This window comes from Homo sapiens, chromosome 13 (assembly GCF_000001405.40).
Source record: "Homo sapiens chromosome 13, GRCh38.p14 Primary Assembly".
NCBI lineage: Eukaryota > Metazoa > Chordata > Mammalia > Primates > Hominidae > Homo > Homo sapiens.
The window spans coordinates 110945456-110959824 of NC_000013.11; the positions used below are offsets into that span (position 1 = coordinate 110945456).

General features: G+C 53.6%; 1 long non-coding RNA gene across 3 annotated transcripts in view, besides 4 other annotated features; it reads right to left on the reverse strand.

Moving 5' to 3' along the window:
* LOC105370364 (uncharacterized) overlaps nt 1-14369 on the reverse strand; it is a 26210-nt gene continuing 11841 nt past the window's right edge. For 2 of the 3 annotated variants that reach the window (XR_931731.3, XR_001750030.2), the window contains exons 2-3: nt 11725-11796; nt 11041-11186 (exon numbers count right to left, since the gene is read on the reverse strand). This is a non-coding gene — a long non-coding RNA (uncharacterized LOC105370364). Of the gene's footprint in view, nt 95-11040; nt 11187-11724; nt 11797-14369 lie in introns of those variants that run through there. The other variant, XR_931732.3, reaches the window with a different exon arrangement.
* Nucleotides 6743-6792: a silencer, noted in NCBI's record as "silent region_5524". NCBI's record gives its function as "represses an Ori minimal core promoter by ATAC-STARR-seq in GM12878 lymphoblastoid cells {active_cell/tissue: GM12878}" and the evidence as "EXISTENCE:reporter gene assay evidence [ECO:0000049][PMID:35858748]".
* Nucleotides 10465-11266: an enhancer, noted in NCBI's record as "H3K4me1 hESC enhancer chr13:111608267-111609068 (GRCh37/hg19 assembly coordinates)". NCBI's record gives its function as "activates a minimal SCP1, AML or CMV promoter by ChIP-STARR-seq in naive H9 embryonic stem cells {active_cell/tissue: H9 hESC(naive)}" and the evidence as "EXISTENCE:reporter gene assay evidence [ECO:0000049][PMID:30033119]".
* Nucleotides 11532-12731: an enhancer, noted in NCBI's record as "CDK7 strongly-dependent group 2 enhancer GRCh37_chr13:111609334-111610533". NCBI's record gives its function as "activates an origin of replication core promoter dependent on BRD2, BRD4, P300/CBP, MED14 and CDK7 cofactors, with strong dependence on CDK7, by STARR-seq in HCT116 cells {active_cell/tissue: HCT116}" and the evidence as "EXISTENCE:reporter gene assay evidence [ECO:0000049][PMID:35650434]".
* Nucleotides 11811-12374: a transcriptional cis regulatory region, noted in NCBI's record as "candidate enhancer chr13.1281 targeted for multiplex CRISPR interference". NCBI's record gives its function as "positively regulates ANKRD10 gene expression in K562 cells {active_cell/tissue: K562}" and the evidence as "EXISTENCE:mutant phenotype evidence [ECO:0000015][PMID:30612741]".

Here is a 14369-nt window from a genome sequence, read left to right on the forward strand (position 1 = left end):
GCGGCCCTAGTCCTAGCCTGGCGTGGCGTCCGCCTGTAGTAACTGGCTCTCAGTACACTTTCATGCAGCTTTCTCTTCTGCTTTAGATGATCTCCTGTTGGAAAGAACAGAGTTTCTTGAGAAACTGGGTGTTTCATTAACTGTTCTTAGAGCCTATGTTTCAGACCCACCGTGGCTCACTCCACCAATAAGCATGGGCTGTGAGGCTGACGGGTGTGGCTGGTAGCATTAGACTCCCCTTCTTTGAGTGTCCACGCCCCACACAGATGCCTTCTTAGGGCTGCACAGGGTGGCCTTCCCCAGGTGCAGGGGGTGAGTACCAAGCGCTCCCTGTGTGCCGGGCCCTGCACTCAACCCTCTGCAGACAGCATCTCCTTCCATCTCCTCAACACCCAGTACAGGTGCTGTGATTATCCCACTTTGAAGATGAAGAAGGCTTAGGATGCGCGGTCATTTGCCCAAGGTCTTCCCAAGGTCACACAGCTCATAGGGGCCAAGTTGGGATTGGAACCCAGGTCAGACCGGCTCCAAGCCTGTGCTCCAGCCCCACCCAGCCCCCAACAGAGCCTGATCCTCTGGCTCTATGAGTGGGTGTGGGGCTCAGGGAGCAGAATTCTTGCTTTCAGTTTCCCAGGAAGGCGCTGGGTGACTGGAAGGAGAGACAGGGAGAGGCACCTTGAATGGAATGAGGCCGGTTGGTCATCTGAGTGGGAGGTGCTGGGATGGCCCCTGGGGGTGCTCCGGGTGTGCTAGGATTCAAGAGGCCCAGAGAGGGCCAGGCTGGCATGGGCATGGGGGTGGGGGCTCAGATGAGCCTGGCAGCGTGCAGTGTGAGGGGAGATGGGCACCAGCAGGATTGGGGGGACACCAGGGGACAGGAGGAACTGAGCCCTCAGTTGTGGAGGGAGGGGAGAGCCCTGTGGATGTGTCCGGGGCAGGAGGACGGAGGGGGCGCTGGCTGCGTCAGGCTGCCTTTGGCTCTCCTGTGGGGCCACCCTGTCCAGTGTCATTTCCCCTGCATTCTCCCTCAAAACCCATTGACAACTCCAAGCTTGGCGGAGCTGGGCTGGTCCTCCTCCTCCTCCCCTCACAGCGGCCGGCTGTGGATCTCATTCCTGGGATGTCAGTACCAGGAGGTTGGGGACTCCTGGTTCTTCACTGTCCAACATTGCCAGGGCTCTGGAAGTCCCCACTGTCACCTCCGGGGCTTCTGTTGCCGACGGCCACACCTAGAGGTGCTGGTGACGTACAGGAGCTTCATCAGTGCAGAGGCCCCTGTCTTTTGCTGTTAGAGTTATAGGAGAATTTGTGGTTCTCCCTGCAGAACAGTCAAGTCCCAGGGAACTGGAATCTTGACAAGGTCAATCATGAAATTGTATCTAAAGCAGCAGAGGTTGTCCTGGACAGCAGCACAATCTGGGAAATTGGCTGTAGCTTGAACGACCGCTCACTGCCCTTTCTACACCGCGTGTGTTGGCCTGGTCCCTGCTGCTGGGGCACGAGCAGACCTTGTGGCCTGGGGTTTTGTGGTCCTGGGACTGACACTGGCCTGGCAAAGTCTGAACATGGGGGGCTAGGGGCCCCACTTCAGAGAAGCTCCTGGCCTGTGCTCGATGACAACTGGTGTAGCAGGGAGGTCTCCAGCGACGCTTCCCGGGACCGTCCTCTTCGGCATTTTAACAAAGGACGAGCTGGCCGGCTTCCCACGCTTGTGGACAGTGAGGGGCTGGGAGCAGCAGCCGACAGGCTGGATGGAAAAGTCAGAACCCCAATGCTTTAAGAGGGGACAGGGAGGCCCACCTAACTGTTCTCTAGCAGGTAAGCTCCCAGGCAGGGCTCTCTGTTTTATGTAGAAACCCCAGAGCCTAGGACAGTGCCTGGCACGTGGTGGGTGCTTGGGAAGCACCAGTGGAGGTGAGTGAAGGTGACAGGGTCTCAATGTCTGGCTCTGTGCTCGGGCTATGAAAAGCCAGCCATGTGGCTCGGCAATGGCTCATTTGCCAAAGTCTTTGGAGTTCACAGACAGCAGCTCGGGATTCATGGTGTGACGCGCTCCAGACGGAGGGTCTCAGGCTGCGTGGACGGGCAAGTGCTGCAGGGTATGGGGGGAGGGGCTGGGCACACTGGGCTGCCATGTGACTCAGGGATACCGGGAGGACAAGAGGGCTGTCAGCCTCACCCAGGACTGGCTCCCAGGTGTTCTGGAAAGCTCTGAGAAGCCTGGGGCCAGGGACAGAAGCCACAGGATCTGCATGGCCAACTCTTAGCAGGTGGACAGTGGTGGAGCTGTGTGAACAGGGAGTGGAGAAGGGCTGGACTGGGGGTCCCCACCCCACGAGAGGGTGGGGGGCCTCCTGAAGGGGGTGTGGGGGCCCTTTCTGGGCCTGTCATGGGGGAGAAGGCTCCCGTCATCACATGGTTGAGACCCTTGAGTAGGTGGGTGCTGGCAGCCTTGTGAGTCCTGATTATTCCTGGGCTGAGAAGAGAGAGCGTGCTTTCATTGATGTGGCCTGCGACTCCTTGAATTTGGACTTGTTGGGACAGGTGAATGTCTGGACGGGGCTCCCGTGGAGCTCAGGCGGGTCCACCTGGGGGCTGGACTCACTTGCTCTTCCTGGAGCTGCTCAGAGACACACGTGTCTGCTGAGTGGGAAAAGAAATCCCCTAGCAGCAACCATTCTGGCACTTAACTGTCATCAGAAGGGTCTCACATTCTGTTTACCTAAAGCTCTTGGAAGAGTGTCAATGACCTTTTCCAGAGCTGTGAGGCTTTTCATCTCACACATTGTTTCTCTCTCCTCTTCTGTGGAAAAAATTCAGGACAATGATCAAGATTTGACAAAAAATGATGACTTAACTCCAAGCTCTTGTTTTTCCTTTCAGCCAGGCCATGGGGCTCTAGACCCCAGGCCATTAGCTTCGACCCTGCCCAGTCCCAGAGAGCCACCATAAACCTTGTTCCACGCCCCATCAGCTCCAACAGATGCTGAGAGAATTGGTTGGATCTGAGAGTGTAGACCTACCACCCTCTGTCTCTTCACCGGCAAGTGAAGTGAAGTCACTGCTGTGTGCCACTTTTCCTTTATCTTCTGAGACCATTCTTGGAACGTCCATTAGAATATGATTGATGTCATTAAGAAGCCAAATATAAAAGACTATGCCAAAAAAGATCAGCATCAGAACAAGGAGAAATCACATGATAGGCTCCATCTTCCCTCGTCGTCATGTCTGCAGATTTTCCATTGTGTAAGGAAGCTAGCCTAGCCCCAGGAGCAGAGCCAGTGAGTGTCTGCAGGTTTTCCATTGTGTAAGGAAGCTAGCCTAACCAGGGGATGAAAGGGGTCAGTGTCCACAGGGTTTTCCCTGCTGTAACAACTGAGAGTTTTTCGTTCCTTTGAGCCCCACTTTGAAAACTCTCTGCCTCATAACTGCAGGGTGCGGGGCCCAGGGCCGGTTCTGCAGAGGCTGCACTCTGGAGCAGTCAGTGATGGAGCTCAGGCTGGCCCTAAACAATGAGGACCAGGATCCTTGGGATGGCCCTACCTGTGGAATAAATGGATACAAAACCCACTACTGGGAGCCAGGCCTCATATCAGGTGTTTGTCAGGTGCGTCTGTTTGAAGAGGAGGAGTGGGATTCTGGAAGGGGCAGCCCAGCCAAGGAAATGCCCTGTCTTTGATGCCAGGAGCATTGGGATTTGCATCTGCTCCTGCATAGCTGGGGCGTTTCCAGAATCGAGGGTGGAGAGAAGCAAAATGGACACCAGCCTGGCGGCCTGACCCTTCAGGGAGCCTGGAACACCGCCCAGAGAAGTTCCAAGGGCTGGACAGGCCATAGGGAGTGGTGGGCACCGGGCCGTTCTGACCATGCAAACAGCAACACCTGCGGTCCCACCTGCTGCACGGTCCCCACGGGAAGCGCTCTGATGGGAAGCTGTGATGGGTGCTCCTAGGAAGGCCTCCCCCGTCACGGTGGGCCTGGGCCTAAGGATGTGAGGCCTCTGCCATGTGTCCCCATATGTAAGAGGGGTAAGTGACACCACTAGCCTTGTTCCTGCCCAGGGCCCTCAGCCTGCTTGTCCCCTGGTGACTGTGAGGGTAGAGGAGCCCACCTCAACCAAATATTTGGACAAACAAAAAGTCTGAATATTCAAAGAGCCACTTAACATCTTAAATTTGCCATCAGTTGCCCACTGAGCAGCTATTGCAGACTGGTGGCTTTCTGAGATGCCATGTGATACAGTTTGGCTGTGTCCCCACCCAAACCTCATCTTGAATTGTAGTTCCCATAATCCCCACATGTCATGGGAGGGACCCAGTGGGAGGCAGTTGAATCATAGGGGCGGTTACCCCCATGCTGCTGTTCTCGTGAGAGTGGGTGAATTCTCATGAGATCTGATGGTTTTATAATGGCTTTTGCCACTTTTGCTCAGCACATCTCCTTCCTGCAATCATGCGAAGAAGGACGTTTCCTTCCCCTTCTGCCATTGTAAGTTTTCCTGAGGCCTCCCCAGCCCTGTAGAACTGTGAGTCAGTTGAACCTCTTTCTTTTATAAATTACCCAGTCTTGGGTATGTCCTTACAGCAGCGTGAGAACAGACTGATACACCACGTCACCAAGTATCTGTTGCTCACTGCAGACCCTACGTGGGGACGCTCCTCTCCAATCTCCCCTGCCCTCCCTTTGCTTGGCATCTCTAGGCACCACGCCTTCCCTCTCCCCAGTCTACCAGGCTGTCATGTTAGCCTCTGTGTGTCCTCACATCCCCTTCTAGACTGGCCCTCCCCATTATCCCAAACTCATCACTTACCTTTCTTTTCTCTCAGTCCCTAATGCAGCTGGTCTTGGCTTGGTGGTTAGGGGCAGAACAATTCAATTACATTGATTCATTTACACTAGAGTGTGGCTTTTGGGGCCCAAAGGAGTCTGGTGCTGTCCCGAGCTCAGGAGTTGTGTAGGGAGGAAGGCTCCACCTGGAGGCCTTGAAGCGGCCTCTAGGGCTGAGCAGAGGAGGCAGCAATGACATGGTGGAGGCTCAGGACTGTGTGGGCTGACTTCCTGGGCTGCCCTCATGCCCACCATGCCCTCAGAGGGCGGCTGTGGCCCCAGGGCCCTGGAGGGCTCTTTCTCTGTGGCTTCTCTGACAGCCAGGTGTGCCTTATGCTGTCCCCTCTTCCTCTGCCGCTTCCCCAGACTCAGACCTTCCCCGTTGACTCCATCTCAGCCTCGGCCTCACGGCTTCAGTCTGTTCTTATTTCCTCTCATTCCTTCAGTGCGCTCATGGGTCTGATTCACAGAGCTGGATCCTGAGGTCCCTCCTGTAGACTCACCTGTGACCTCGCCTGCCAAGGAGATGCCCAGTGATATTTAACCCATAACCATCAGGCAATTTGCACAAGCCAATGAGTGGGAAAAATTCAGAGATACTAAGAATGTTAGGTTTAAATAGAATCTTATTCTTGCATAAGCCCAGAACATCTCCAGTTCAATCCTTCCCGGCTCCAGAGGCTGGCTTACTGGGGGACTGTTTGAGGAATGGGTTGGGATGCAGATTCCTGGGACCCAACAGAGATGCTTGACTCAGGGATGGATATTTAATAAGCTCTTCTCCCTGGTGCCTGGAGCATAATTAGGCTCGGGAGCTGTGACCTGGTCCTGGGTGTGGGGTATACCACAGACATCCTGCACATGTGTGCTGGGCAGGTGTCCTTTCTGGATTTGAATCTCTAGGATAAAGAGGAGATATTTCACACCATATGGAGTCTAAGTGCCTCACCCTCTGAGCCTTTGCACACTTGTATTTTTCGCAGCAAACTCATCTGTTGGAGGGAGGCTTTTCCTTACTCCTGAGGGAACCCTCCAGGGGCACTCTGGCTTTCTCTGCGCCTGCCCCGGGGAGGAGAAGTGACATAGCTGAAGCTTTGGGAGAGAGGACCAGGCATTGTGGCAGCACCTGCCTCCCTGTCTTGACATCTGCCTGCCCACGAGACATTTCTGCTGTGCTTCTCTGGGCTGTGGTTTTTCCAGGGTTGGCCCCATGGGAGGGGGTGGGGGGTGCTAGGGGTCCCTCAGTCCTGACAGAGACCGGGAGATCTGCCCAACTGGGGGCAGCGGGCACATTCTTCCACCAAGGGTTTATCCTCCACAAAGGAGATGTTTTTGCCTGCGTCTGCCTGCCTCCTGCCTCTTCCGTTACAGCTGGACTTGGGCAGGGGTAATTGCAAGGCTGAAATTACCATCGAAGGAAAATCTGCCTGTATTCCCAGAAGAGGGTAGCTTTTTCTGATGTTTCTGAGAAGTGCTGTTGTCATAATCCTCTTTAATATGGACTTCTTTGATTAAGAACATGGAAAAAATGGGATGGGGAAAAGTTTTCTTGATTACACATGTATAAACATTTTTGGCCCATGCTTTATTTTAAAATGCAGGGATGGGATGCTAATACGGTTTGCAAGCTCTATTTGGAAATGTGTGTTGGCAAGTGAATGTGTAAACAGAGTCAGGTGTCCTCTGACTCCCTTGAACCAACAGTGTGGACCTTGGCAGATGGCAGGTGAACCAATCCTAGGAACTGGAATTTACATTCTGGGTGCAAGATTTCAAGAGAGTGCTGAACTTTCCTGCTGCCGAATACACTTTCATGCACTGCGTGGGGATTTCTGATTCCCAGTTCTCTCCTTGGCAACTGTTGATTCAGTACTCTGTCTTGGTTCTAAATGTGCTGTTCTATTTCCTTGCATATGTCTTTGACCATGTGAAGCTGCACTTGGGGAAGGCCATTCTTTGTGTTGGTTCATGACTCACTGTGTGGCTTGGGCAAGTCATTTGCTAGACCTTGGTTTTACCTTCTGTCAAATGCGATGATGATAACTGCCCTGCTCTCTCAGAAGCCTTGGGTGAGCGTGAAGTGAGAGCATGGGCGTGTGTGGGAGGAACTGTAAAGTGTTGGTTAGTGCAGGGTTCTCAGGTTCTTGTGCCCTGTGTTCCTGCAGTGGCTCCCGAGGGCGAGAACGTGCCTGAACATGCACTCCAGAGATCCCAGAGTAAAGGGAATTATCCCTGCCAGTCTAGGGTTGACTTCCTCTGTCTCGGGAAGCTGTAGAAATGGTTTTAGATGCCATATTGTTCACATCTCCATGTGCCCTTGCCCCAGAAGTAGCTGGTCTTAATGCTCAAATTATAGGGTCACATATTCCATACCACAGACCTCCAGGAATAAGGGCAATTAGAGGGTTAGAAAGGGGTGTGCTTGCTTTTCTCTTTACGTATCGGTGTTGATAATGTGGATGCTGTACTTGGCATTTTGCTCGGTGTTGTTTTATTCAGATCCAAAATCTCCTGGACCAGAATTTCATCTTGGGGGAAGCACACAAGATCACGTTGGAGTCGGCCCTGCAGGGCTGGCCCTTGGCTCCTGTCCCCTAAGGCCATCTGTACACACAGTGAATGGGAAACAGGAACTCCGGGAACCCAGGGGATGTGGGACTTGACTTTCGAACGAACCTTCTCTGGGTGGGCAGGCCGCTGCCTCCCTCAATAATTTCAGAAAAACTGAGACCATTTGGACGTTTTGGACACTGAACATTGCCCCCCAAAGGTACAAGGCTGGACACTTGGCCCACACGTGGTCCTAAGTCTCCTTCCTGCCCTGGGTCCCTCTGTCCCATCTCTGAGGCTCTCCCAAAGCTGCCCTCTGTGTGTGAGTAAGCGTCGCTCCTGATCTCTGTGTCAACACAGCCTCATTTTCTTCTTTTACGTCCCTATGGGTCCTCCTAGGGAGCTTTTACCATGAGAGCCCTGAGCTTTGTGTCTGAGAGACCCAGAAAAAACACACAGGCTCTGCTCCCACCAGAATGTGATCTTGGACAAGCATCCTCACGGCTCTGAGCTTGGGTTTCCTGTCTGTAAAACGGGGGTATGTATTTGCCTGTGGGCTTTTCTGAGGGTCCAATAAAGCAGTGTATGCAGAAGGCGCTCAGCACGGATCCTGGGCCATGGCCAGGTGTTGTGGCAACCGAGAGTCACCGCTGTCTCTGCAGCACAGTCACCAGGCCAGACTGCAGTGCTGGGCTGAGCAGTGGGTCCTGGTTTGCTGGGGCCCTCTGGGTTTAGCCCAAAAAGTCCCTCAAAGAGGAGCTCCTCAGCCCCAGGCAAAGTGGGTGTCTGGTCTCTCTAGGACCAGCTCGTGCGGAATTCAAAGGTAAAGGGGAAGAGGCTGGAAATGAAGATGCCACCAATACGCCCGAGAAAAATGCTTTGTCCTGGGCTCTTGGTGTCTCGCCCAGCAGCCGCGCTGTCCCTCTTTCTCGCTCACAGAGCTGGGTTTTGGCAATGTGTGCCCCCAGTGAGGCCCTCTGTGGCCAGGTGGGCTACAGCCCTGTAAGGTAGGAGGAGTCTACCAGCTCTGCAAGGAATTTGCTCCTCCTGATAAAAGGGGAACCAGTGTCCAGGCCTGCACCCCCGCCTCCTGCCCTGGGAGTGGACGAGGCGTCTGGCACTGTGGACACCATCCTTGATCATGAGGCAGGAGCTTGAAGAGAGGCCAGGACAACCTCAGGGACATGGCCTCGTATTGCGGAGCTGCCGGACCAGAGCTGCGTGCCACCTGCCTCTTAGCCGCGGGCGCCCCAGGATCCCAGCCAAGGGGCTGGGCGCTGCCACTCAGGCTCTGTCCGCTGGGGCCAGTGATTGGACGGAAGCACCAATCTTAGGAATTCCAAGTTCCTAAACAGTCGTGGTGTCCAGTGAGATGGGGTCTTGGAGAAGAGTGGATATGCATTTGAATGGCAAGCATTTACTGGGCACTCATCTGAACCAGACACTGCCAGGTACTGGGGGCCAAAGACAGCCCAGCCTCAGTCACTGGTCTCTGTCCCACTCCAGCCAGCCATGTCCAGGAGTCAGGATTCTATAGCTGTGAGCAGGCACAGCAGGTCAGCAGTAACAGAGCACCCACCAAGGGCAAATGCCCTGTCCCCAGGGCAGATTGGGGCAGGCAGAGGACAGGATTCAGCTGACCAGCCCTAAGAAGTGAGCCCTCCTGGGGCACTGTCTGAACTTCCTGGCCAACTCTGGCTTCGGTTGCCCCATTGTTACTGGGGATCACCCCCGTCCATGGCGGATGGGCTGTCTCTGCAACTCTCCATCTCTAACAACTGTACCCACAGTCCCTGACCTGTCCCAGTGTGACCCAGTCCACTCCATGCCCGAAGCTGGGAGTGGCCTCCTGGGGACCCAAACTCCTCAAGCTGCAGACACCCTGGGATTCCCTGAGATGGGCGGATGGAGGCCCAGCTGCGGGGAGGCGCGTTCCTGCTCGGAGAGCAGTCAGGGCTTTGGGGGCCAAAGAGAGGCAGGAGGCCGAGCCACCCCGTGGTGAGCTGCCCAGGGCGAAAGGCTGCCTTGACCCTTCCACGGGCCTCCCTACCCTCGGGGAGATTGGTCAGGGCTAGAAAAACGCTTTAGGTAGAGATGAAGCCAGCAAGTGGAACAAGGTTAGGAAGCTCTTTGTTTTAAAACCATGTGTAACTGCTGATGGTTGAATTTTTTGAGATAGGAGAGGCTGAAATACAAACAATGACGAGCACAACCATCAAAACAGAGCCAAGCACACCTGCAGCAGCCAGTCCAGGGGGCTGGCCTGCTCCACAGTCAGACTTGCCAGAAGTCAGACCTCCTCTAGCGACGACTCAGGCAGCCACAACGCAATCCCTGGACCAGCCGGCCCCAGAGGGCCAGGAATGCATCCATCACCGACAGGTCCTATGGCTTTTGTCCTCGCTTCCAACTCAGAGCCAACCAGAGAAAGCCACACATGCTCCCTCACCAACCCCTCACCGCCCGTCTGATGAGCCACCCCCAGCACACCCAGCTGCAGCCTGCACGGGACCTGGGCTTCCTTTGCCTTAGTGAGGCCCCATCCCCTGCCTGACTCAGAGGCTCTGAAATTGCATGTGATGGTGACTCAGAGGCTTTGAGATTGCACGTGATGGTGGTGACTGCCCTCCCACAGCAAGCTCTGGACAGAGAGTCTCGGCCTGGCCTGCCTGGGTGGGCTTCACTGACCTCCACAGGGATTTGAATTCTCACTGTCAATGCTTTCAGCTTTCTACCTAGAAGAAATCTGGGGGTGTGGATGGGGGTAAGAGCTGCTGCTTCCTTCTAGGTTTAGTTGGTCAGGACCCAGGAAAAATATCAGAAATGCCAGCCACTCTTTCCTCTTCCAGAATCCTTTTCTGAGGCCACTGTTTCTCTGGGGGTGGCTGAGACACTGGCTGGAGCAGGTGCTGGTCTCAGGACTAAAACTCTCAGAATCTGGCAACCGCCAGATTCACCAGGAAAGTGAGTCCAGTCACAGCCATTCCTTGACCTTGGGGAGTCTAACTCCTGCCTGGGGCAGTTCGCTTGAGTACCCAGAAAGTGGACGGGGCGGCAGAAGCGAGAATGGGAACACCCATTCATTCACTGGAGCGCTCACTCATCCATCCACCTAACCCATCAAACACGCAGGCAGGCAGAGCTTTTCCCAGGCCTCTCCCACCCAGATGTGGAAAGGGAGCAAAGCCTGACTTCTGACAGCGACAGCTCCTGGAAAGGGCCCAGCACCTGGGGGCCCTGCGTTCCCACGGGAGCCCCTGTTCGAGGCCGTGCAGCCTTCACAGCCGCAGTCCCGGGCCCTGCCGGGTGGAAGGTGGCCCCATCCTCTACCCCGACCCCACTCCACAGGCAATGCTGGCAGAGAGGTCCTGGGAGGTGACTGTTTCCCAAGGGCATCGATGTGAGCAGGGGTCAGGACTGCATGCTCTGAGTCCCAGCATTCTGGGCCTCAGTTTACCCACATGTAAAACGAGAGGTCAGAGCAGAAGTGCAGGCACTGGCTAAGCGCTCACACCCTGGAGCGCGGCTGTCTACGTGGAAATGGCCGTGAAGGCAAAGGACACATGGAACTGTGGAGAGCCAGCGTGATGGAAAGACTGAAACATCTCACTAGTAATTTGACACTGATCCCATGTTGAAATCATCACGTGAAATACAATGTTATTGCAATGAGTTTCATCTGCATCTTTTTAATGTGGCCACTAGACAATGAAAAGCACATCTTCGGCTCATGCTGTGTTTCTATTGGACGGCCCTGGCCCAGGGCAGCAGTTCTCAGCCGGCTGTACTTTAGCATCACCTGCAGAGCCCTAGAGAAGCACAGAGGCACCAGGCTCAGCCAAACCAGCACGGCCTGCATCCCCGGGGTGAGGCCAGGGGGTCTGTAGTTTCCACCATCTTTCCAGGGGGCTGGCAGGGCTGAGGCGGTGGAGGAGGGGACGGCTCAGCCATGGGGCCTCTCAGGTGCACAGGAATCGGTGGCATCAGGTTGAATGCGGTGCTGGTGCTGGAGGGCTGGGCCCGGCTTGCCGCTGGGCGTTTCTAACAAGCTCCCCAAACCAGATGATGCAGACGCTGAGGGTCCTTGGACCTCACTTTGAGAAGCAAGGCTCCCACGCACTTTTTAGGTGTAATGGTCTAAAATTCTGTCTTCCTTAATTTCTTGAGAGTTTGACTCTTAGATGTCAGCAGTAAAGCTATGGGCCATTGGTATATGATTCTAGCCCCAAACCAATCAGTTCCCTCCACTGTCTGCAGTTGGTACCAGGTTATCTGGGAAAAAGCCACAGACAACCATCCAGTCCCCTTCATGTACAGGCCAGAGGTTGATAGGAGGGGCTTCCTTACCAAATACTGTGGTCATATCGTCATCCATATTTTTAAAACTTGACTAACTTGACGGCAGTCCAGAACTTGAACCTAGGGGGAAATAAAAGCCCTATAGTTTAACAATGTTCATTGAATTTGCATTTGCTTCTCTTTAAATGGATACCGTTTTGTGGGTGCCCACCAGCCCCCTCTAGAGGAAGGAGCCTGTCACGCGTATCCATATAGAAGACCACCTAAACAGGCTTTGTGTAAGCAACAAGGCTGTTTATTCACTTGGGTGCAAGTGGGCTGAGTCCGAAAAGAGAGTCAGCGAAGGAAGATAGGAGAGAGGCAGCTTTATAGGACTTGGGTAGGCAGTGGAAAGTTAGAGTTGAAGGTAGTTATCTGTTGTCAGCAGGAGAGGGGGGTCACAAGGTGCATGGTGGGGAGATCATGAGATCCATTGTCCAGGAGAAGAATGTCACAGGGTCGATTGATCAGTTAGGGTAGGGCAGGAACAAGTCATAATGTTGGAATGTCGTAAGGTTGGTTAATCAGTTAAGGCAGAAACTGACTGTTTCACTTCTTTTGTGGTTTCTTGGCTGCTCCAGGCTTCTTGGCTCCTGCTGGGCATCTGGATATATACGTGCAGGTCACAGGGGTTACAATGGCTTAGCTCCAGCTCAGAGGCCTGACAGAGCCCTGCCTGAGTTCCAGTCCCTCCTGCAGGCCATGAGAGATGGCCCTGGGAAAGTTCTTTGGGATTTGGGCTTCTTGTCTGGAAAATGGGGGGAAATGTTCATCCTCGGGGTGGCTGTGAGGATGGAGGACAATTGCCCAGGAGCTCTGAGCTAAGCCTGCCCTCCTGGTCCCTGGTCCCTTGAGAGGCCGAGACAACATCCTGGTCCCAAGGATGTCTAGGCTTACCCAGCTGTTTTGAGGTAAGCAAAGTAAGAGGGCACATCTCCTTTTGTGAAAGCAACACTTTGACCTCTTTCATGACAGCACCCGCAATGCATGCACCTGTGTCAGAGGCGTTTGAACCAGAGCCACTCCATCTTGAGTAGGGGCTCGGTAAAATAAGGCTGAGACCTGCTGGAGTGCATTCCCAGGAGGTTAGACATTCTAAGTCACAGGATGAGGCAGGAGGTCAGCACAAGATACAGGTCATAAAACCTTGCCGATAAAACAGGTTGCAGTAAAGAAGATGGCCAAAACCCACCCAAACCAAGATGGCAACAAGTGTGACCTCTGGACGTCCTCACTGCTACATGCCAACCAGCGCTATGACAGTTTATAAATGCCATGGCAATGTCAGGAAGTTACCCTATATGGTCTAAAAAGGGGAGGCATGAATCATCCACCCCTTCTTCAGCATATCATCAATAAATAACCATAAAAATGGGCAACCAGCAGCCCTTGGGGCTACTTTGTCTATAGAATAGCCATTCTTTTATTCCTGTACTTTCCTAATAAACTTGCTTTCACCTTATGGATTTGCCTTGAATTCTTTCTTGCGTGAGATCCAAGAACCCTCCCTTGGGGTCTGGATTGAGACCACTTTCTTGTAAAATCTTTCCGGTGAACCATGGAAGAGATGATACTAAAGAGACCCCCAACCCAAAGGAAATAGACTGCACACTGATTGGCTGACCTTGTAAGTCATTTGCATTTACCCGGGTGAAGGGTGGGATTGGGTTAGAGGCCCAACTTAAGGGAGTTAGAGTCTCTCCTAAGACAGAGTGGGTTAAAGGCAACTCTTAATAAAAGGCAAGAAAGCTTGACTGAACTTGGGTTCAAGGCCCAACTTAGGAGGGTTAGAGTCCTTCCTAAGATTTAGGGGGTTAGAGGCCCCTCTCAGTAAGGTCCCTCTCAGCTAAGAACATGTTTGGCACTAAGGGATGTTAACTGCTATTCTCTTTGGATTAATCTGCCTTGCACTCTTTGCTGATGGCTATGGGTGACAGAATCATGGGACATGGGGGGCTTTTTGCTCCCTAAAGGGGGAAACTTGAGAGCTGATGGGACTGCTGGAAAAGATCCCTTTGCTACTGACAAGCGGCTGCCCGAACTTTTCAGTGTCACTACAATGGCTGGGTCTTTCTCTGGCCTCCTTGAGCTCTTCACCTTCCCCACCCTGCCACAGGCACTGCTTTCTCTCTCTTTCCTTTTCCTTTCTTATCTTTTCTATTACTCAGGGCGACCATCTTGCCCAGAGACCACAAGTTGAAACTCCCGGTTGGGGGTTGGATTAAAAGTGATGGGGCCCTGAAACCCCGTCTCTACTAAAAATACAAAAAAAAAAAAATTAGCCGGGCGTGATGGCGGGCGCCTGTAGTCCCAGCTACTCTGGAGGCTGAGGCAGGAGAATGGCGTGAACCCGGGAGGCGGAGCTTGCAGTGAGCCGAGATCACACCACTGCACTCCAGTCTGGGCGACAGAGTGAGACTCCGTCTCAAAAAAAACAAAAAACAAAAAACAAAAAAGTGATGGGGCCCAACCGGGGGCAAGCTTGAGCTTTGCCAGTTTGATATTGAGTGCTAAGCATAGTGGCTAATGTCCATGTTTTGTCATGTATTTTGCTCTGGCCAGAACAGAAAAAGATTATTTTCCTTTGTGTCGCGGCTTTGTCCCCAGGGCTGTGGAGCAGCGAGCCAGGTCACTAGGGCCATTCAGGGAAAGGG